This window comes from Homo sapiens, chromosome 1 (assembly GCF_000001405.40).
Source record: "Homo sapiens chromosome 1, GRCh38.p14 Primary Assembly".
NCBI lineage: Eukaryota > Metazoa > Chordata > Mammalia > Primates > Hominidae > Homo > Homo sapiens.
In genome coordinates this window covers 36802757-36825048 of record NC_000001.11, presented here as the reverse complement: position 1 = coordinate 36825048, position 22292 = coordinate 36802757, and the positions used below count along the sequence as shown (strand labels likewise).

The 22292-nt window shown below is 50.1% G+C and overlaps 1 protein-coding gene across 1 annotated transcript in view; it reads left to right on the top strand.

Annotated features, from left to right (window-relative positions):
• The window catches only part of GRIK3 (glutamate ionotropic receptor kainate type subunit 3), a 238989-nt gene that overhangs the window by 209467 nt on the left and 7230 nt on the right, over positions 1-22292 (top strand). Inside the window, exons 12-15 of the mRNA NM_000831.4 lie at positions 5195-5313; positions 7772-7989; positions 18723-18945; positions 19812-20062. Coding sequence (NP_000822.2) covers positions 5195-5313; positions 7772-7989; positions 18723-18945; positions 19812-20062 — 811 coding nt within the window. The remainder of the gene's footprint in view (positions 1-5194; positions 5314-7771; positions 7990-18722; positions 18946-19811; positions 20063-22292) is intronic.

Genomic DNA, 22292 nt, shown 5'->3' with positions numbered 1-22292 from the left:
CCCTGGCTGGTGGGTGGTAGGAGGAGGTCACTATGGGACAGGTTTCGCCCAGTGTTTGGCGAACACCTAGTGCTCGCCAAGCACTGTGCTCTGCACTTTACAGCTGTTATCTTATTTAGTTCTTCCAGCCTCCCTTAAAGAGGAGACACCTGAGGCTCAGAAAGTCTCACCACTTGCCAAGGTCATACAAGCAATAGGTGACCTTACAGCATTTGACCATGGGGGTCACCAAGCCTTTTATCTATGACCCACATCTCCGTCCGGTGGTCCGCCCCTGCCCCGGGTTGGTGGCTGCTGGGGCCCGCTCCCCACCCCTTTCCAGCGGAGCCCTCTGCCTTCTCCCTCTGGGCTCCAGCCCCAGCCCCTGATCTGGTCCTTTTTTTTCTCTAAATCCTAACAAAGTGCAAAGAGAGACTTCTCTGGAGAGGCAATTTGAGATCCAATGACTTGGCGTTTTCAGCCTTTTTTTTCTCCAGAGCCTTCTTTAAAAGCCGCCCTCCCCCCACTTCACTCCCTTCCGCTCCCTCCTCCCACGCTGTGAGAGACCAAAGGGAAGGCTGTGAGTGATGAAATGTCCCTGCTCCCCAGGCCCTGTGCTGCCAGAGGCCTGAAGCTGCCATGGCCACCCTGCCTGGTGGGCGCAGCAGCCGCTGAGCCTGCCACAGAGAGGCCTTCATTTATGCCTCTTGTCTCTAATGGTCTAACAAGCCTTTGAAAGCCAGGAGCCACTCTCCAGAGCTCGCAGCATGATTTTAGCGGCTCCAGGGGTCTCTCAGCTCCCACCTTCTCGGGCTTTTCTGGCATCCGCTCTGCCCTTTTGATGTGTGTCCCATCCCCCTCTCATTCCTGGCCCTTCACTAGCAAGCCTTCTTCCCACCCTGCCTCCAGGCTCGGAAGGTGGGAGCCTCCTTCCCAAGGTTAGGCTGGGAGACTTTCTAGAAGAGATGGGTTTCCTAGAGCTGCTGTAATGATAGGAGACCCCTGAGAAGAGAGGAGAGGGACAAGAGTTTTGGCCGCCGAGCTAGGAAGAGCATCAGAGTGCACTTGTCACCTCGCCCAACACCCTCACACCACCACTCACACCTCTCTTGAGGTGGGTATAATTATCCCCAGTTTATAGAAACAGAAACTGAGGCTTGGAGAGGTTAAGTCATTGCCCAGAATCAGAAAGCTTTTCTTTGACAGAGTTGGGCTTCAAACCCAGACCAGATATAAAGTTCAAATTGGACTTCAAACCCAGACCAGTTGGGCTTCAAACCCAGACCAGATATAAAGTTCAAATCCAACTTTATATCAAGGATGACAAACGCAAGTACCTGCCAGGGCCAAAGGGAGTGAAGCAGGCATAGTGATAGGCAGCGGAGAGTTGGTAGGGACTAAGGCACCCCGGAGAGCTCACCTGGCTGAAGGGGGCAGCTGCTGCTCAGCTCCAACAGGTTGTACCAGGCAGAGATGCCGGGCCAGTGTTGCAGAGCTCATGATCCTGAGAGAGAGATTTGGATTTTTATGTGACATCTCACGGTTTTTCTGTGTGGCCACTAGTTTAATTTTTTTTTTTTTTTTTTTTTTTTTTTTTGAGACGGAGTCTCACTCTGTCACCCAGCTGGAGTGCAGTGGCATGATCTCAGCTCACTGCAAGCTCTGCCTCCCGGGTTCACGCCATTCTCCTGCCTCAGCCTCCCAAGTAGCTGGGACTACAGGTGCCCACCACCACACCCGGCTAATTTTTTTGTATTTTTAGTAGAGACGGGGTTTCACTGTGTTAGCCAGGATGGTCTCGATCTCCTGACCTCATGATCCACCCGTCTCGGCCTCCCAAAGTGCTGGGATTACAGGCGTGAGCCATCACGCCTGGCCGTTTAATTTTGTATAACACTGGCAGGGTCAAGCACAACATATCTGTAGGGTGAATGCGGCCATCTCCCCTTCACTCCTGGTGACCATGCTGGCTGCTGGAGATCTGGACACAGCTGCCCACAGTTCCAAGAAATGGGGCCTGGGAAGGGAGGACAGGTCCCCAGGTCCACTCTGGGGCAACTCCAGGTTGGCATAGGACTGTCCATCTTGCACGCTGGCCTGGCCTGACCTGTTTGGCCCACACCAGGGGACCAGGCATTGTGCAAGGCCTTTCACTGCCACCAAGATATTCTGCTTCATGCCTGGTGAGGTAGGAGGAAACAGGAAGGGAGCAGGGGGTGCTTTCTCACCACAGAGATCAGGACAGTTGGCACTCGTGACAGGGGATGATCCTAAGTGCCTGACCCAGGAGGCAGGGCTGAGGGTGAGCAGCCCATCTACTTCCTGGGGGCCACATTGCAGCCAAATCTGGGTTGAGTATCCCAAGGAAGCAAGAGCTTTGGCCATAGTGGATGCCCTGTCTCCTCCTCCACACTCCAGCTGGGGATGGAGTGTAGCCTTCTCTGTGGAGACAGAGTGTCTCCAGGTCAACTTCTAACTCCTATTTACTCTCAAGACTGGAGAAGCCCTTGCAACCGCAAGCTACAAATCCAAGATCTGCCATTAACTCCAGATGACACCTTCCCTCCTCGTCCTGCGACCATCCCACTCCTCTTCTCTCCTGTGGCCGAGGAGGGTTAGAGCCTGGACGCTCTGTCCCACTGACTGCAGGATCCTCGTGGCCTCCACATCTGTAAAATGGGCACCGTGCATGCTTTCACCTCTCGGGAGGCGATGAGGACCCCAACCTGTAACGGCATTTGATAGCCAAGAAGCCCATTCTAGAAGCGGTTATTTTTATCATGATAAGCAGTTCCACCCCTGGAACTTCATCCTGTTGAAACATCACCATTGAGCCACACTTTAGCATTCTCCCAAATCTAGAAAGGCTTTGCAGCCAAGCCCCAGAAGACAAGGCCACCCTTGGGCATCAGGGCCGACAGAGTTGTGTCCAAGGATGATTTTCCAGCAGAGTGCACCACAGCTGGAAAGAGAGGACAGCTTAAGTGCCCATCAGTCAAGGCATGGTTAGAAACACCTGCGGAGTGGTCACAGAGCATGAGGTAGATCCGGAAGAACTGACCTGAAAAGAGGTTGGTAACATTAAATGAAAAACCAAGTTTTCGGACAGTATAGTGGTATGATAGGGGATTTTTTGGGGTTAAAAATATCATATATGTTATATATTTGTGTATGTGTGCCTGGTACATGTAAAGAGCAGGACTCGGGAGATCTCACCAGAAATCAGCTTTATGTTGTCTCCCTCCCACCTTCCAGGTTGTTCAGAGGTGGGTGCTCTTCCAGTGGCCCCCTCTGGCAAGGCCTCTCTTCATGGCCCACTCCCCACACAGCCCCTGGTCCTCCAGCAGCCTGTGCCCCATGGCATCTCCCTGTTGGAATCCCATTGCCTTCTAGGATGGGAGTCAAAGTCGGCCTGGGCTGGATCTGTCTTCTGCATGGGTCCATCTGGTCCAGGGGAAGCACTGTGGACCCAGCATCCTGGGACCCGGTGGTGTCTGGGCCTGCAGGCCAATGTTGTGCAGCAGGGACTCTCCTGGTTCCACCGACAGAGCACCCATCAGCCCGACCCCTGCCCTTCACACTTCCCAGGTCCATCCGCTCAGTTACAGAGCCAGGCACTGAGCTGCCTCGCCCCCTGGGAAGCCCCTCTCCCTAGATGTGGTAGAGGAAGCGGGGGCTCTGGACACCCAGCTCTCCAAAGGCTCTCTCCAAAAACCCTTCTCACAATAGCCTCTAATCTCTGCTTTCTCCATTCTAGATCTCTTCCCTGTGGATTTTAGAGCCTCTAACCAGTTTGTGGTCATTTCCTTTGAAGATCCCTGTCTTGGTTTGAAACCTTTCTTTAGAATTTCCTATTTGAGGGATCTTCCCGCTTCATGAAAATAAAATTCTTTCCACATGACCACTGGTAATCAATGTATAATATATTACAGCTTTTAGAAGGGAGACAGAAAAGAGAGGTCACAACATCACACTTAAAGGGCATTGCACTTTAAAAAATGAAACAAAATTCCACTAGACTTGTCTCTCCTTCCAGATGTGTCCTCTCAGCATCCTAAAACCTCCCCCACAAATCTAGAGAAAATGTCCACCAGCCTGGGACTTTTTCTAGGGTCCCCCCAACCTCTCGAGCTTCTTTAAACATACATATCCTCAACTGGAACTCACGCAGTGAACAAAAACTCCCTTCAATTCAATAATCAGGACTCCTCTTCCTTAGAAGGCAGTAGGTGGCTTTAAGTAATCATTTTTTCCCTGTCATATATATATTTGTATATTCAAAGACAAAAATCTAAAAAATTATATAACGCATTGTTCTCTCCGGGGGATAGGATGCTGGAGTACATTCACTTTCAGATTGTATTCATCTATACTGTCTGAATATTTTATAAAATGTGTCTTCTGCTTTTTTTCCGTTTTAAGGTTTTTTATTATACCCAAAATTCAAAAGCATGTTCTCACTTTTAAAAATTTATGTAATGCAGATAGAGCAATAGGCTCCTGAAATTCCTTCTGCTATTTTGATGCCCCTCCCCAGAAGTAAACACTGATAGTTTTTATCTAGAGACCCTTTCAGACCCTTTAGTATGCATTTGCATATGAGTATACATAAAGCACTGAATAGTTATGTCTTTAGGAGTCTGTTTATTTAAGTGTGGTCATATTGTTCTTATTTTCTATTGCTTTTAATACATTGCTTTTAATATTTTTATTGCTTAGATCTTCAACAATATGTGTTGAAGATCTTTCCCCACCAGCACATCTCAAGTATCTCATTCTCTTTTAACAGCTGCATAATATTTCACAGTATAGTTGTGGCATCATTTATTTAATCATTCCTTTATTGAAGGATATTTTGGTGGTTTCCAGGTTTTTTTTGCAATTGCAAACAATGCTTTGATAAACACCCTTGTGTGCTTCTCTTGATGCTCCCGTAAGAGTGCTTTTTCTGGGATGGATAATGAGTTGCAGAACTGGGAGCCTGAAGGGCATGTGCACTTTTAATTTTACGAGATGCTGGTGAATTACCTTTATAACCAGAAAAGGGCACTAACAATAAAGAACAAGAAGAAATTCCCCTGCCCTGCCTCCCAGCAGAACCATGAGGATATTGACGCTGAGGCGGCTGGCACAGCTGTGTTTGCTAAACCACTGCCTGCTGGGGCGTGGATGCCCCTTGCTTCCCAGGCTGACTGTCCCTCTCCTCCTGTGGCAGGTTCAGCCCTTATGAGTGGTACGATGCTCACCCCTGCAACCCTGGCTCCGAGGTGGTGGAAAATAACTTCACTCTGCTTAACAGCTTCTGGTTTGGAATGGGATCCCTGATGCAGCAAGGTATGCACCCTCTCCCAGGGCCTCCCCTTCCAGGGTCTGCTTTCCCCAAGCGGTCTTCAGCCTCTTTGGCATCAGCAGAGCCAGCCCACACCTCTAGGGGTAGCCTCAGACCCTGATGAGCCGGCAGAAGTTTGGAGACATCGAGATACCCAGGTGTGTGCCCTTGCCCCAGACCCCTAACTTCCACCTTCACTCTGGCTGGAGCTGGCTCAGGGTCTAAAGCTAAGAAAACCACCCAGCCCAGGGCATGCGGGACGCATCCCCCACCTCCTGCTCCAGCTGAGGTGGACATAGAGCACCCTGCTGGCTGCGGCTGACCCTGCCCATGGCCTCATCACCACACAATCCAGCTGAGCAAGTTGGGCTGTGGATGGAAGGAGACCAGAGGCAGGGAGTCTGGGTGGGAGGCCACTGCAGGAATGAGGTGATGAGACCTGAACCTCGTGGTGGCCCTGGGAGTGGAAGGCAGAAATGGACTAAGAGAGCTTCAGGATACACTGTGGATGGGACTCCGTGGCCGCTTGGCTGTGAGGTGCCTGGGAGTAGGAAGGATCATGGCTGAGTTGGGGACTTCAGCCCGAGTGCTTCAAAGATGAGGTACACAAAAAGATGCAATTCTCTTACATCCTCTGGAGGGAGGGCCAATGTGCTTTGGAACTATCTGCAGCAGAGCACCTGCTCTAACTGCCAGGAGTCAGATGCAGAGACAGCAGGGAGCAGGAGGGCAGGCACAGGGAGAGGGGACCACCAGCCAGGAAAGGACACCGCCCCCTGGTCCTGCTGGCCACCAGCCATGTGCTCACTCCCTCTGCAGGTGGAGTCCCATGTCCAGAGTCTCTTATCTTAGGGAGTGCAGACAAGTTTTTGCTGTTAGAGTTTCACTGAGGGACCTGCTTAGGGGGCAGGCAGGGAAGGGGCTTCCAGGGACAGAGAAAATGTCCTTGTCCCTCAGTCATCTGTGTATAACCTTCACAAACCCTGGTCCTCAGTAGATATCCATCAGTAAACACCAAATGAATGAGCAAATGGCATTATCCCAATGTGTCCTGGGCACCCACTACATGCCAGGCTCTGTGCTGGGCACTTGAATGAAGGAGGAGAGGAAAAAAGCAAATCTGTCCCACATGCGAGAAACCTCTTGGCCATGGCAGAGGCCAGGGCAGGGACTTGGGCAGAGGTCTGGCAAGGCTGGCAGAACTCAGCAATCAAGTGACTCAAATAAGCTGCTCTCCCTCTAAGAGCAGCCCAAAGCCTGGTTTGGAGCAACCTGGGGAGGCTGGGAGTGGCCAGTTGGGGAGGGGACACAGAGCCCCAGTGGTCTCTAGCAGCTAGGAAGTGACAGGCAGCTTTCAAGGGAAGTGCCTCAATCTGTCCTTGCTATTAATGAGTGTCCTGGAGCCTCACCTTGTTTTTTTGTCCATCGTCTTTGTTCGGTGACAGTTGGGAAAGACCTGGAAGCCCCTCAATGCAGTAATAGCTTCTCCTCTTCCACCTCCTGCTGCTATTCAAAGCACTGGCCCTTGATGTATTCTCCATGTGGTTTTGATTAGGAGGGAGAAAAATAGTTATGTATTTGAAAAACTCTCCCTTGAGTGACTTCTTTGAGAAAAAAAAACATCATATCAAAGCAGACGGTTTTCAGATTGCAGGTCCAAATATTCTGGAAAGTTCAGGAGTCACTTGCAATTTAAATCTCTTGAAAGCCACCTAGTTAATTACTTCAGTTAGAAGGTGTCATCTCTATTGTGCTCCCCACCTAAGGTCGGGGAAGAAAAGTCATATATTTCGGCAAAGAGCTTCAAAAAGTGTTGATTTTTTTTTCCCCTCCTGCAAAGCACTGCATAGCAATCTTGTATTTGTATACCATTTGTATTTCCAATGCAATTTCTTCTCAAATTATATCGTTGCAGCACCACAGTATTTATGTGAGGCTGGGACAGAGGAAGGACAATTCTTCATGTTTTGCAGAATCCCAGAGAGGGGAAGTATCAGGCATAAGATCACACTGAGAGTTGGGAGCAGGATTCACTCGAGAACCCAAGGGTCCTGACTCCCAGGTGTTCTTAAGCTGGGACCACATAAGTGGTCCATGGTTAGGCATCTGAGGTTTTGATGAGCCTGTGAAATGTGAATGTATATGTTGTTCTAGAAGAGCGATTCTTAAATTTTAGCCTGCGTCAGAATCATCTGGAGAGCTTACTCAAAACATATTGCTGGTTCCCACCCTCAGAAATTACTGATTCAGTGAGTGCTGGGGAAGGGCCCAAGAATGTGCATTTCTAACAAGTTCCAGGTGATGATGTTGCTGCCAGTCCAGGGACCACACTTTTGAGAACCACTGGTCTTGGGAAAGGGCCTTAGCTTTCATTAGAGTATCAGAGGAATCCATGACCCAGGGGACTTGAGCAGCGCTAGTCTGGATGTTGTAAGGGACTGACTATCTCCTCTCTTCGCCCAGGGTCTGAGCTGATGCCCAAAGCCCTGTCCACACGCATCATTGGTGGCATCTGGTGGTTCTTCACGCTCATCATCATCTCTTCCTACACGGCCAACCTGGCTGCCTTTCTGACCGTGGAGCGCATGGAATCACCCATTGACTCTGCTGATGACCTGGCCAAGCAAACCAAAATCGAGTATGGGGCTGTCAAGGATGGGGCCACCATGACCTTCTTCAAGGTGAGGCCCTCTCCCTCCTATTGCAGCACCGTGAGCTGATCCTCTCCGGACCCTTTACTGAGCAGAAGAGGAAAGGGGGTCTCTGTCCTTCCCTAACCACGCATGGCCAATGGGTCAGAAGCCCTCTCAGCCCCACCGTGTTTGGACTAGTTGACTTTGGGGAGCTGTGGTGATGTGGGCCAACTGGGTTGGCCTCGACACAAATCCTAGAAGTTTCTGTGCCTGAGATGAGCAATGTGAATGTGTTATGATTCCTTAAGTCATCAGAGGGAGACAGATGAAGAGAGGGGCCTGGAGAAGTGGGAAGGAGGGGAAGAGCCACCCAGACACACAGGCCCTAGGGGCTTCCCGCCCTTGGCTTCAGACCTCAATGCCGTCCATCTCAAAGAAGCTAACCTGAGGTTGGGGAGACAGCAGCAGGGCCAAATCTTGAGAGGAAGGGAGGAGGCTTAGAACTTGAACAAGTGTTTACAGACATTACTGAGCATGTTACACTCTAGGAATGCTGGTGTCAGCAGATAAAATCCCTGTCACCTGCTCAAGTGACTGCTCTAATGGGTATCTGGCCATGATTTCATTGCTCCTCCTGCTCTGTGAAGTGTTGCTGAGTGCCCTAATGTTTTCCACTTTCTACTGGAGTAGCTGAGGGCTTAGGAGACTCTGGCTGGCCCTGAGAACCAGAAGCTGCAAAGGTTCTCCCAGAAATTAAAGTAGTAATAGCAGTAGCTACTGCCACTGAGATCTCACAGTAGGCCAAGAGCTGCGCTAAATGCTGGGCCTCATTTAATCTTCATGACAAATCCTGGGAGGCTGGTACTCGAATTATTTCTACTTTACACGTGTGGAAACTGAGTCCCAGAGCAGCTAAGTGGCTTGTCCAGGGATGCCCAGCTGGAGGAACCAGGTGCGACCCAGGCCTACCTTCCTCGAGGGCCCTGTTTTAAGCCAGTGGTTCTTAGATCTGGGTGTGCATTCAGATCATCTGGAGGACTTGTTGAAACACAGCTTGCAGGCCAGGCACGGTGGCTCATGCCTGTAATCCCAGCACTTTTGGAGGCCGAGGTGAGCTGATCACGAGGTCAGGAGTTCGAGACCAGCCTGGCCAATATGGTGACACCCCATCTCTACTAAAAATACAAATTACAGGTGACGTGCACCTGTAATCCCAGCTACTGGGGAGGCTGAGGCAGAAGAAAGGCTTGAACCTGGGAGGCAGAGGTTGCAGTGAGCCAAGATCGTGCCACTGAACTCCAGCCTGGGTGACAGAGTGAGACTCCATCTCAAAAAATAAAAAAAAGAAAGAAAGAAACACAGCTTGCAGGCCCCACCCTCAGAGTTTCTGACTCAGGAGGTCTAGATGGGGCCGAGAATGTGCATTTCTAAAAAGTTCCAAAGTGACGCTGCAGCTGCTGGTCCAGGTTCTGTGCTTGGAGAACCACTGTTCCAAAGGTTTCCCAGAAATGATTAGGATTTAGGAACTCTGTGGCTGCAGGCCCACTTATTTATATGTTTATCTATTAATCAACTGCTCTCAATCAACCTGGAATGGAAGCCTGGGGTATTTTCCTTTCCTCTGGGCTCTAATTCCCCATCTCCCAGCCGCTGCCTCCTCCTAGGCTAAGCCTCCAAATGATAGATGGAGCCTCCAGTGGGGCCTGAGTGAAGAGAGAAGGAAGGGGTTGGGTGGGAAAGCCTTCTACCTCCTGGGCACTGCAGCCCCCTGGCACTTTCTCCCCTCCCCGCTGCCCAGCCCCCACCATGTCCCTCCTTGAGGTTGGAAACAGCTTTGTAGTGAAGAGACAGTGAGTGAGGAAAGGAGCTTCCCTCTTGGATGTTGCCAAGAGGGATGTTGGTTGACTTGCCTAAGAGGTCACTGCTGTGTATTTAGAGTGAGGGGAAGACAACGGCATTATCAAAGGCATGTTGGGAACACTATGGGACTCTGTATGTGTTCCTGCCTATGAGTGAGTAGGTGAGGATGTGTATACATGCATGGCTTCACATGTGCATGTAGCAGCATATAATATGTGGGAATGTGCACGTGTGTGTATGTGCACACATGTGCCTGTGCACAACTCTGCCTGTGTGGGGACATGTGTGTATTTGTGCTTGGACACGTGTCTGCATCTATGTGTATGTGTGCTGAACATATGTGTGATGCATCTCTGTGATCTGGGCATGTGGACATGTGCCTGTGAATGTGTACAAGTGTGTACCCGAGGGTCTACCTGTATATGGGTACAGAGAAAATACATTTGTCTGTCTGCTTGGATATCCTCATGGGTATGTCTAGATAAGTGGAGGGCAGATGGACCTGTGTGTGTGTAATGGCCTGTGCAGGCATGTGTGTGTATACTCGCCTTTGTGTGTGTATGCCTGTGTAATGGCCTATGCATGCATGAATCTGAGTGTGTGTGTGTATAATGGCCTGTGCATACATATGTATCTGTGTGTGCATGTATAATGATCCATGCATGTATATATGTCTGGATGTATGTGTGTATAATGGCCCATGCATGCATATGTGTCTCTGTGTGTGGGGGGGGGGGGTCTATGTATGTGTATAATGGTCCATGCATGCATATGAATGTGTCTCTGGGTGTGTGTGTGTATAATGAACTGTACATGCATATGTGTCTGCATGTGTATGTGTGTGTATGTGCACACATGCCTGCCTGCTCCTGCCTATCCCCAGGCTGTGGCCCAGCCCTTTGTGCCAGAGCATCTCTCATGCATAACGCATGAACCCATCTCTAAGCAGGGCTCCCGATCAAAGTGAAACGGCATAAATAAGCCTGGTGCAGGCTCATTGCCGCTGATTGGATGTCCCTGCCTCCCTCCATGCTAAGATGCTCAGATTGGCTTCCAAGAAGCTAGCCCCAGCTCCCCACCGAGCTGCTGCCCTCACCATCAAGCAGCACCTCCCACAGCCTCCTCTGCCCTCACCCACCTTCCGTGCAAATGGCACAGCGAGGAGGGCAGAAGAGACATACAAATGCTGTCACCTGTCTGGGATGCTGGGGCTTCATGGGCCCATGCTCACAGGAGTCTGTGGGTCAGAAACAACAACTCCACACCCCCTGCATAACTAACTCCACTTTCTTCCTGTCCCTATGGTCAATTAATTCCTCTTTATGCCTGGCCACATTGTCTCCTGCCTTAATTCAAGTGAAGCTCTCCTTGCCCAGACTCCCTGTCATCAGCAGCAGCAATGGGACTGTTACATATTGGAGAAGAGCCTGAATGTAGATACATTAACTGCCCCCCCACCTCAGATGATGAGCTAGAAGCACCACCCCCCGCCCCGCCCCCGCTGAAGGTCCCTGGATGAACCAATTCCCTGCCTTGTCACCCCTCTGCCCTCTGTAGTTGGACTTCCTAAGTAGACCTTCCCCCCGGGCCAGGTGATAGCCTTCTGGTTAGCACAGAATGTTTGCAGGTTAGAGCTGGAAGGAGACCTGAGATTAACCCAGAGAAACAGGCCCAGCCCATTATCACACAGCAGATCAGTGGTGGAGCGGGGTACAAGGTCAGACATGCTGTCTTCATGCACAGTGCCCTCTCCCACATCCACTCTAGGGTCTTCTCCTAGAGAGGTGGTCTTCCCCTGACCATGAGAGTATATGGCAAGGCTGCACTACTGTTGAACAGGAGGCAGCTCCAGGAGGAGCCATCAGATGTCTAGGAGACATTGGCAAAGTCAACAATAACAGTAACACTTAATGAACACTTACTTTGTGCCAGGCACCATTCCAAGCATTTTACCTGTATTTGTTTATAACATCCTCAATAACAGCCCTGGAACGTAGATTGTTATTATCATCTCCATTTGAAACATGACGAAAGGAAGGCCCAGAGAGGCTAACTGACTTGCCTAACATCCCACAGCTAGTGAAATGCAGAGCTGGGATTTGAACCCAAGCAACCTGGCTCTAGTGCCTATGCTCTTGGTCACTGTGTTCATATGGCTTCTCTAAGGACCCAGCCACAGTCCTCAGGAGGCAGTTGGGGAAAAGTGAAGCCACAGTCAGTTGACCACATACCCAGCCCTGCACAGCCCTGGCACGTCGTAGTTGCTCTAATAATACGTGTTGAGTGGATACTGTTATTGAGTGAAAGGATGGGATTTAAAGATGGCGGCAGCCAAGTGGCACAAGTGCAGGAGATAATATCGAGGACTAGGAACTGAGTGGGCAGCCTGTATTGAAGGTCCAGAGTGCAGGACAGATGAACTTGATTTCTGTGGTTAGCATGTTCCTGATTAGGAAGCACACAGTCTTAAAAAAACGCCCTGACTGAGAGTAGAACTCACAAGGGAGGGAACCTGTTTCTGTCCAAAGACGACAACAGCAGGAAGCGGGATGCTGGGCTCTCGGGGGGCTCTCGATCCCTCGCCCCCACCCTGCAGACCCATCATTCCAGAGGAATTTCATTTGAAGAGTTGTCAGGGAGCAGCAGACATCACAAACAGCGTCTCCTGTGTTGTCCTCCCTCCGTCTTGGAAGATAAAAATTAATTAGGAGATGAAAAAAGAGGCCTTTGAAAGCACTGTTTGGCTATAAAAATATGTAGGCAAAATGTAAAGGAGAACGTTGGGAAAGCGTGTTCTTTGCAGGGAGGGCTGCACAGCTTTGAAGAGAGAGGACATCGGAAGACAGCTTCTCCAAGCACTTAGACCTTTTTCAGTGCTGGGGGTGGGAGAGCACATAACAGATGAGAGGGATAGCGGCTTAGGAAAGGAGTGGGAGCTGGGAGCCCGAGAATGCCAGGTTCCCTGGGCCCCTGGTCATTGTCAGGCCATCCCCCTTGCACAGCCTCGGTTCCTAGCATCTGACCTGGGCATGCTGTCAGAGAGGTCACCTGGTCCACACCCTGCCTCCCAGCTGCATGACAGACCCTTCCTTGAGCTGGAGGGCCTAGGAAGATGCTCCCCAAACTCAGCTTCCAGCTTCTCCTGACCCATCTGCTGGCCTCTCTCACATACAGTCTTAGCCCTGCCTTCAAGCAGAAGCAGGTAGGGGGACCAAAATGTAATGCCCAGGCAGAATTCAGTGTGATGCCGCCTGTCGTCATCAAGTTACATCAGTTTTAAAGTCAGACAGACCAGGATTTGAGTCTGGGATGATGTCTCTGCTGGTGACCTTAGGCAAGTCACTTCACTTATCCGGGCTTCCATTTGCTCCCCTGTACAACACAGATACTTATTTTCACCATGCAGCAATTAGCAAGAGGGTTCGGTGAGCTCCTGTATGTACAGTGGTTAGCCCAGAGCCAGGCATACAGGAGGACTTAGGTCAAAGGCTTTCTCTTCCACACAGCCCTCCAGTTGGCTGAACAGAAACCAAAGAGGCAGGCTGGACCCTTTCCTCTTGCCCCGAAATTCCCTCCTGGGGCAGATTACTTAACTGGAGCACACTGGAGATGACCAGCTAAAGGGCACCCACCTTATGGAGCCATTGAGATGATTAAATGTGATAATTCATGTATTCACCTCACAGCATTACCTGGCACAAAGTAGGCATGCAGTGAATGCTAACTTTTTATTGTTTATTGTTGCAAACTGGTGATACACAGGCCTGTGCAGCCCATAGACGTGATTTGGAGGGGCCACACATCGCTTATTTATATATGTATATTTTTTAAAACATCAATTGCAGCAATTCTCAGCAGCTGAGAGGCAATGTTTATCTCCAGTTTACAGACTCCCCCCAGCCTTCTTTAGTTACTTCAATACCCTGCCTGGACCCTGTCAGCATTTGAGTTTTTACCCCTTTAAGTGCCATAGCAACTCAGCACTATAGAGATTTTTCTCCCCAGTTTCTAGATGAGAAAACTGGGCCTTACAGAGAATTAAGGAGCCTTAAAGGGAAAGAGTGACTCCGGCCACCTATGGAGCCTTAGGGGCATGCTCTGTGTTAAACGCTTCACACACCTTGTCTTGTTGAATGTTCACGATAACCCTAAGTAGCACGTACTCTTACAACACCCGTTTTACAGATATGGAAAGTGAAGCTCAGAGAGGTGATGTCACTTGCTTGTGGTCACAAAAGGAGCTGGCATTTGAGTCCAAGCTGGTGTGACACCAGAGTGCAGTGGAGCTCACCCCTCTCACTACCTCCACCCCCAGCCTGTAGCCCCCCACAAGCAAGCCTCAGGCATGTGCTGCCGGGATGGGGGGAGGTGAACTAGGAGCTAGACTGTCCTTACCAGGGAGCCTGTAGCAGTGGGCAGAGGCCATGGACTCCAAAGAGGCCTCCTGTCCCCACAGAAATGACCCAAGAAAAATGATAAACTGCTCAAATCCATGGATCCAGTAAGGCCAAAGATTCCACACTCAGAGATAAGAAAGCCAATTAATATGGAAAAAGGTCTTCTTTCCAGTATGGAAAACAACCAAGGTCTTGTATGCAATCCCATTGCTACTGCATCTCTGCACACATTCTCTGAAATTCAGCTCCCTTTGGAATTGCTATATATATATAGACTTACATACATTCTCTTGTACAGAAATGTTAAATTCTCAAGATTAAGTATCTTCAGTCAGGGAAAATCAATTTGCTTCTTTGAGGAGGCTGGAATTGAAAGTCGTGAGCCTGAAATTTACTTTCTTGCCAATTTTGCTGATAAAAAAAGCATCTCTGTCCTGGCACACCGCCGTGTATTGGTTGTTCCAGATGATTCCATTAGTTGATTTGGGTGACTAGCCCTGAAACAATCTTTATTAAGGTTCCAACCAGGGCCGGGACAGGCAGGATGACACAGGAGCTGTAGGTATGTGAGACTTCGTTCCCTAGGGTGGTGATGATAGCTCTGGCCAGTGATGGGAACTCAGGCCTGTGATGGGAACTCTCCCAGAGATGGGAGAGAGGGACCTGAGAGTCCATGAAGGGCTCTGGATTTATCTATCCCTGCTTAGACAAGCCACAAGGAACCTTTACAGGGTTGTGCCCCAGAATCACTCAACTGCTCAAGGACAGAAGGACAGCACTTAAGGGGAAGCAGAGACCATGAGGAGATGGGGTTGAGAAGGGGGGCCCCAAGACAGAAGACAAGGACAGTGGGGACCATTCTAGGAAAGCAGATTTCAGACACATCTACCTGAAGGTGATGGAGGTAATAATTTAGTTGGTGCTGGAGCCAGGAGGCTCCAGAACCAGGAACCTCTTAAAATTAACGTCACAGCCAGCTTCATGCCTTGTTTTCACCTTGCATCTTCACTGGCCCAAGCTCTCTGGTGTCCTTTCCCATCTTCCTCATTCAGTTCCTTTACCCACTGGTGCCTTTCTTGTGTCTTTCCTCAGAGCCCATCTGCCTCAACACTCCCTTCAGCCCCCAACTGAAATTTCTGTCTCCATCTATGGTGTTGTGTTACTGGAAAGAGCATATGGTTTGGTGTCAGGCAGGCCTGTATATAGGAGGAATAAAGTGTTGGGGTGTGGGGAGGATACAAGGAGGAGTTTAGAGAAAGAGAAGAAGTGCTTATCCCATTCTGAGACAGAAGGAGTAGGTGGGGCTTCCTGAGTGATTCATTGTCAAGTTACTTTTCTCAGGACTTGAGATTTATTGGATGGATGACTGAGAGGGTGGGTGACATAGGAGAGTGGGTGGGTAAGATGGGTGAGAAGGAGAAAGGGATGGATGATTGGGGGATGGATAGGTGGGTAAGAGAACAGACGGATGGATGGATGGATAGATAGATGGTTGGATAGATGGATAAATGGATGGATAGATAAGTAATAGATAGGTGGATAGTCAGATTAGTTGAATTAACTAGTATGTACATGGTGTGTGGATGATAGCATGATCAGATACAATAGTGGATGGGTGGGTGAGTGGTTGGATGGATGGATGGATGGATGATGGGTGGATGGATGGGTGGGTGGATGGATGGATGGATGGATGGATGGGTTGATGGGTAATTGGAAGGATAGATTAGATGGGCAGATGCATTAGGAGGTCTGATTGCTTCATCTACCTTTGGTTCTCACCTCTAGTAGTAGAGGGAGAACTGGGAAAGCAGAAGAGACAAGGATGGAAAGGAACTGAAGAGCTGCAATCACTGGAGGGAGAAAAGTATTTAGGTTCCAATAACCAGGATGGTAGAGTATCAGGAACACGTGTATCTGGCAAAGCAGAGATGACTGGACTAGGATACTTTGATTAGAAGAATAGTTGGAATTGATGATTATCTGAAAAAGCAACCATACTGGGAGCAGAAGTCGCTTATGTGACTATGTGGTTGAGAGGGTGTATAAGTTATCTATTGCTGCATACCAAATTACCCGAAACTTCATGTTTTAAAACAATATTTGCTATCTCACAGCTTGTGGGTCAGGAATCTAGGCAGTTTCGCTGAGTCCTCTGGCTCAGGGTCCCTCATGGGGCTGCAGTCAAGGTGTTGGCTAATGCTACAGTCATTTCAAGGCATGTTCTCCAAACTCACTGCATGCTTGTTGGCAGGACTCAGCTCCCCCCAGGTGACTGAACTAAGGGCTTCAGTTTTTCACTGATAGCTGGCCAGAGGCTGCCCTCTGTTTCTTGCCCTGGGAACCTCTCCATAGGGCAACTCACAACATGACAGCCAGCTTCCATCAGAGTGAGACGAGCCAGAGAGAGTACCAGTCACAGTCTCTTGTAACCTAATTTTGGACATGACATCCCATCACTTTTGTGGAGAGTTAAAAGCAAGTCACTAGTTTCAGCTCACATTCAAGAAGAGGGGATTACACAAAGGTGTGAATACCAGAAATGGGGATCTGTAGGAGCCATCTAGAAGCTTTCTACAACAGGAGAATCTGGGGAGACAGCGTAGCAGAGTAAGAAAGGAACAGAGGGAGTAAAAGAGGTTGGAGGTGGGAGAATCTGCTTATCAGAAATTTTCTAGAAAATAAGAAACATTGGGGGAGGCAGAAGAGCTGAACACCAGGAAGATTTTTAAGGGCAAGAATATTGCGTGGGGCACAGCCTGGGCCACAGGAAGCACTGAGGTGGAAGAATAGCTGAGGAAGTGGGAGAGCGGAGAGCACAAAAGGTTTGGAGGCAGGGATTGCAGAGGTAAGAGAGTCATGCAGAGCTGGAGTAGCTGGAGAGTAGCAATGGCTGAAAGAAGGGCAGGCTGAGGACTAGGAGGGGCTGGGAGAGGCCAGTGAGAGCTGCAGGCATCTGGGCCCTTCCATGCCTTTGGCTTTGGGGCAGGTAAATTTGTAGGTTGGGGAGTGGCTGCTTATCTGTGAAGGTGCCCCCAGCCCTGTGCCCAAAGAAGGCATCACTGGCACTCAACTGATATGGTGCTCAGATGTAATTCTAAGGGGTCCTGCCTGTGGCTTTGGGGCCCCTTCCTGTCCCCATTGCTCTTCCTCAGGACATGTTTGGGTCTCTAGAAGCCAGTTTAGGAGGGGACAGCCCTTGCCAGATCTAGGAAGCACCTGGAGAATAGAAAGTACACTTTCCTCCCAGGCTCCTTAGCTCCCTCCCAGCAGGCATGGCTTCTTCCCCATCCCCCTGCCCATGCCCCAGTCCTGCGCCAGCCTGTTCAATTGCACCCATGACATCAGGCATACTGGAGCTGGGCCGGGTGCCAGTCAGGCAGGTTGACATCACAGACAGACACAGCTAGACTTGGAACCAGCCGGGCTCAGTGGGGCCTGCAGAACCACCTGTTCCCCTGAGATCAGCCAGGACAGGGCTGATCCCTGCTGGGAGCAGGCAGTTGGCAAAGCACTAAGTTCCCAAGAAATCTCATGAATGCCGTGCACCCTGGTCTGCACAGTCTCCCCAGGCAGCAAGGGACACTCAGCCCTTGCCCTCCTCTCTCCTGGCCCCAGTGACCTCTCTGCGTCTCCCCAGCATAGGCATTGCATCCTACCAACTGGACCTGGTCTTAGGGATTCTGATTCTGCTCAAGCAACAGTGTCCAGCCCAGGACCCTACAGCCCTGGGCTCTGGTGTAGCTGAAGGGGGTTTGCAGACCACCTACCCTGACTGCCCTTACTTTTCTCCCCCTCTGCAATTCGCACCCTGCTCCTTCCTCACAGTAATGAAGTAGAACATGTCTGAGGCAAAATCTTCCCCTGAAACAGGACATAAAAGAGGCCTCCATTGGTTGAAGTGAAAGGGGAGGCCCAGGACCCACTCAGCTTTGCCCCGATGAGCAGCTGTCTCTCCCCCTCCACCCTCACAGTGGTTTCTGTGAGGCAGGGCAGCTGAGGGGTTAGGGGTATGGACTCTGGAGCCAGATGGCCTGGGTTTGAAGCCTGGCTTTGCTACTTAGTACCTGGGTAAACTTAGGCAAGTGACTTAGCTGTGCCTCAATCTTTTTATTTGTAAAATGGGGCTTGTGATGGTGCCTGCCTCCTGTGAGCGCTGTGAAGAATCAACGAGTTAATGCAGGTAGAGCACTTAGAACAAAGCCTGAACGTGCTAACTTTTAATAAATTTTAGAGAAAGAAAATCCATGTTTAAAAAGTCAGCTTGAAGACCACTTGTGCCATGGCCAGGGTTTCCAGGAAGCAGGCCTGAGTCTACATTTCCGTTTTATCATTGGCCAGCTGTGTGTTTGGGGACCTTTGCCCCGGGGCCTCAATTTCTATATCTGAGCACCGTGTAGCACTTCCTTTCTCTGAAGATTGTAGACCGAGTTCAAGGCCCCAACCCACGTTGTGCAGGGTATGCGGTGCTTGGTCCCTGGTGCGCCTAGTAACGGTGTGTGCATCACCCCTTCCCTCACGGCCCAGAAATCCAAGATCTCCACCTTCGAGAAGATGTGGGCCTTCATGAGCAGCAAGCCATCGGCGCTGGTGAAGAACAACGAGGAGGGCATCCAGAGGGCCCTGACGGCCGACTACGCGCTGCTCATGGAGTCCACCACCATCGAGTACGTCACGCAGAGGAACTGCAACCTCACCCAGATCGGGGGCCTCATTGACTCCAAGGGCTACGGCATCGGCACGCCCATGGGTGAGCGAGGGGCTGCCTGTGGGAGGGGTGGGTGTGTGGGCAGAGGGAGGGCTCCACCCCCGCGTCCCCTCACACTCCGTCTCACAGCTCATTCCATGGGGCTGATAAAGGTGACGTTTTCTCTTTTTTTTCTGTTCTTTTCTTTTTTTTTTTTTTTTTTTTTTTTTGAGGTGGAGTTTCGCTTTTGTTGCCCAGGCTGGAGTGCAGTGGCATGATCTCGGTTCACCGCAACCTCCACCTCCCGGGTTCAAGAGATTCTCCTGCCTCAGCCTCCCGAGTAGCTGGGATTACAGGCATGTGCCACCATGCCTGGCTAGTTTTGTATTTTTAGTAGAGACGGGGTTTCTCCATGTTGGTCAGGCTGGTCTCGAACTCCCGACCTCACGTGATCTCCCCACCTCAGCCTCCCAAAGTGCTGGGATTACAGGCATGAGCCACCGCACCTGGACAAAAGTGACATTTTCTCAGCCCAGAAGCAGAGGGATGGAGCTGCATGCCTTGTGAGGGTGGCCCTGGCCTGAGCAATGAGAGCTGGGACAGACGCGAGGTTTGGGGACAGTTCCCAGAGGCCATTCCTGCCTTCCCTCTCCTGCCCCTGCCCCTGCTGATGCAGCTCAGGGGCACTGGGACTTCAGGGAGCCCACAGGGACTGATACACAATGGGCACAACCTCCCTGCTCAAACAGGACATTTCCACTCACCCAGATACCATGCGTCGATTTAAAGGGGACTCACAGGGATAGGGACCCCCTTTCATGAGCTGATCCAGAGGGCTAGTGGTGGTGACCTGACCAGGGTGTTGGCAGAGCCAAACACAGAATGGGCCACACGCCACTGATGGCTAGGGGTCCCTTCTCCCTGCTCAGGCTCCCCATACCGGGACAAGATCACCATCGCCATCCTGCAGCTTCAGGAGGAGGACAAGCTGCATATCATGAAGGAGAAGTGGTGGCGGGGCAGCGGGTGTCCTGAGGAGGAAAACAAAGAGGCCAGTGCCCTGGGGATCCAGAAGATCGGGGGCATCTTCATTGTCCTGGCCGCCGGGCTGGTCCTCTCTGTGCTGGTGGCCGTGGGCGAGTTTGTGTACAAGCTCCGCAAAACAGCAGAGAGAGAGCAGGTAAGCCTTAGAGCTTGGAGCCTGCACAGGATGGGAAATGGAGATTCGCGCTGATTTCACTCCTGTATGTGCCAGGCACACAGTGGTGTCTCATCTCAGCCTCACAACAGCTCACCCTGCATCCAGTCGGCCAGCAAGCCCTGCCACTCTACCTCTGTCCTGACCTGGCACTTTTTTCCATCGCCGTTGCCCCACCCCAGGCCAAGCCCCATCACCTCCTGCCTGGATTATGCCGCAGCCTTCAAACTGGCCCTCCAGCCTCCATGCTTCCCCAACACCATCCACAATTCACACAGCAACTGGTACCTTGTTTAAAACTTAATTCAAACCATATCATTTTCCTGCATAAAACCCTCCAGGGTAATTGTTGAAGGTGGGTGATGGTTGCATAGGGTTTCATTATACTGTTCTCTCTACCTTTGCATATATTTGGAAATTTCCATAATCAAAAGTTTAAAAAGGAAAAGTTAACAGGGTTGGCCCAAGCATATAGACAGTAGAACTAGGCTCAGGCCTTCTGATTAATTCAAGCATGGTTGGGCAGTAGTTCTGGGTCCCAGTAGCAAATTAGAATCACAGGGAGAAAGTTTTCAAGTGCTAATGCCCTGGACTCACTCCCAGAGACTCTCTGTTTTAATTGGTCTGTGGTGGAGCCAGCATTATGCTTTTACAAAACCCTACAGGGTGATTTAAATGTGTGCCCGAGATGAGGGCCGCTGGGCTGGGGGAAGCACAACTCACAGAGAAGTTCAAGGATATTGCAGTTAAATTATATATAGAAGGGCCCATTATAAACAAGCAACTTACATATCCGTAAAAAACGAAATGGAATCCTCTATAACCAGCAAGCCTTAGTCAACAAAGAGGAGGGGGAAAGATAATACTCGATGTTGGAATTTGCAAGGGTGTAACCGAAGGGACGCTGTCCAGCATTGCTGAGGGAAGTCTATGCAGGTACTTTTCTGGAAAGCAACTTCACGGTATGTTCAGAGTCTTCCACAGCATCCATACATTTTGGCCTGTCAATTTCCACTTTTAGAAATGTACACTGTGTAAGTGGTCAAAGATAGACATGGTTTTATTTACAAGGAAATTTGCTGAAGTGTAAATTATAACACGAAGAGATGGGAGGGAGGGGTAAACACCTAAATGTCTAACAACAGAGAATGGTTCTCTGTTGATACAAAATTATGATACATCAAAAAAGAACAACAATCAAATTCTCTGAGAATTCCCATTACAGTTAAAAGGAGCTCCCAGCCAGGTGCGGTGGCTCACGCCTGTAATCACAGCACTTTGGGAGGCCGAGTCGGGTGGATCACGAAGTCAAGAGATTGAGACTACCCTGGCCAACACTGTAAAACCCCGTCTCTACTAAAAATACAAAAATTAGCTGGGCGTGGTGGCTTGCACCTGTAGTCCCAGCTACTCAGGAGGCTGAAGCAGGAGAATCACTTGAACCCAGGAGGTGGAGGTTGCAGTGAGCCAAGGTCACGCCACTGCACTCCAGCATGGAGACAGAGACTTCGTCTCAAAAAATAATAATAATAAATAATAAAAAAATGAAAATAAAAAAGAGCTCCTCATTCCACCAAAAAGCCTAAAGGATCTGTCTACTCCACTTCTCTGCCCACTTCCTTCCCTCACTCTCCTCCCCTACTCTGCTCCACTCCTGTTCAGTCCTGAACACACCAAGCACATTTCTGCCTTAGGCCCTTTGCACATGCTGCTCCTAAAATGCTCCTCCCCCAGAGGGTGTGTTCTTGACATCTTCTGGTCATTCTTGTTTCAGTTCCAATGTTACCTCCTCAAGTAGCCTTCCTCACCTGCCCCCATTTCCAGCCCCTCTCTATCCCATTTCACTGCTTGATTCTCTTCCTAATGGCTGTCACTGTCTGAAATTATTTATTTGTTCACGTGTTCATTATCTATTCCATCTCATCGTTAGACCGCAAGCTCCCTGAGTGGGCTATGGCCTTATCCGTCTTCTTCACTGCTGCATGCCTAACACCTGGAACAGTGCCTGGCACATAGTAGGGTCGCATTAAGTATTTGTGGAATGAAGAAAAGGAGGCAAGGAGGGATGACATTCTGCATGTAGTAGGTGAGGAAAGGGAAGCCTGGAGGGTCACAGCTGGTAGGAGGCAGAGCAAGAATACAAAGCCTAGTCCCCAGCCCCTGCACACAAGTAGTCCTGGTGCTAGTGCCCTGGCCTCACTAGGTAAGTTGA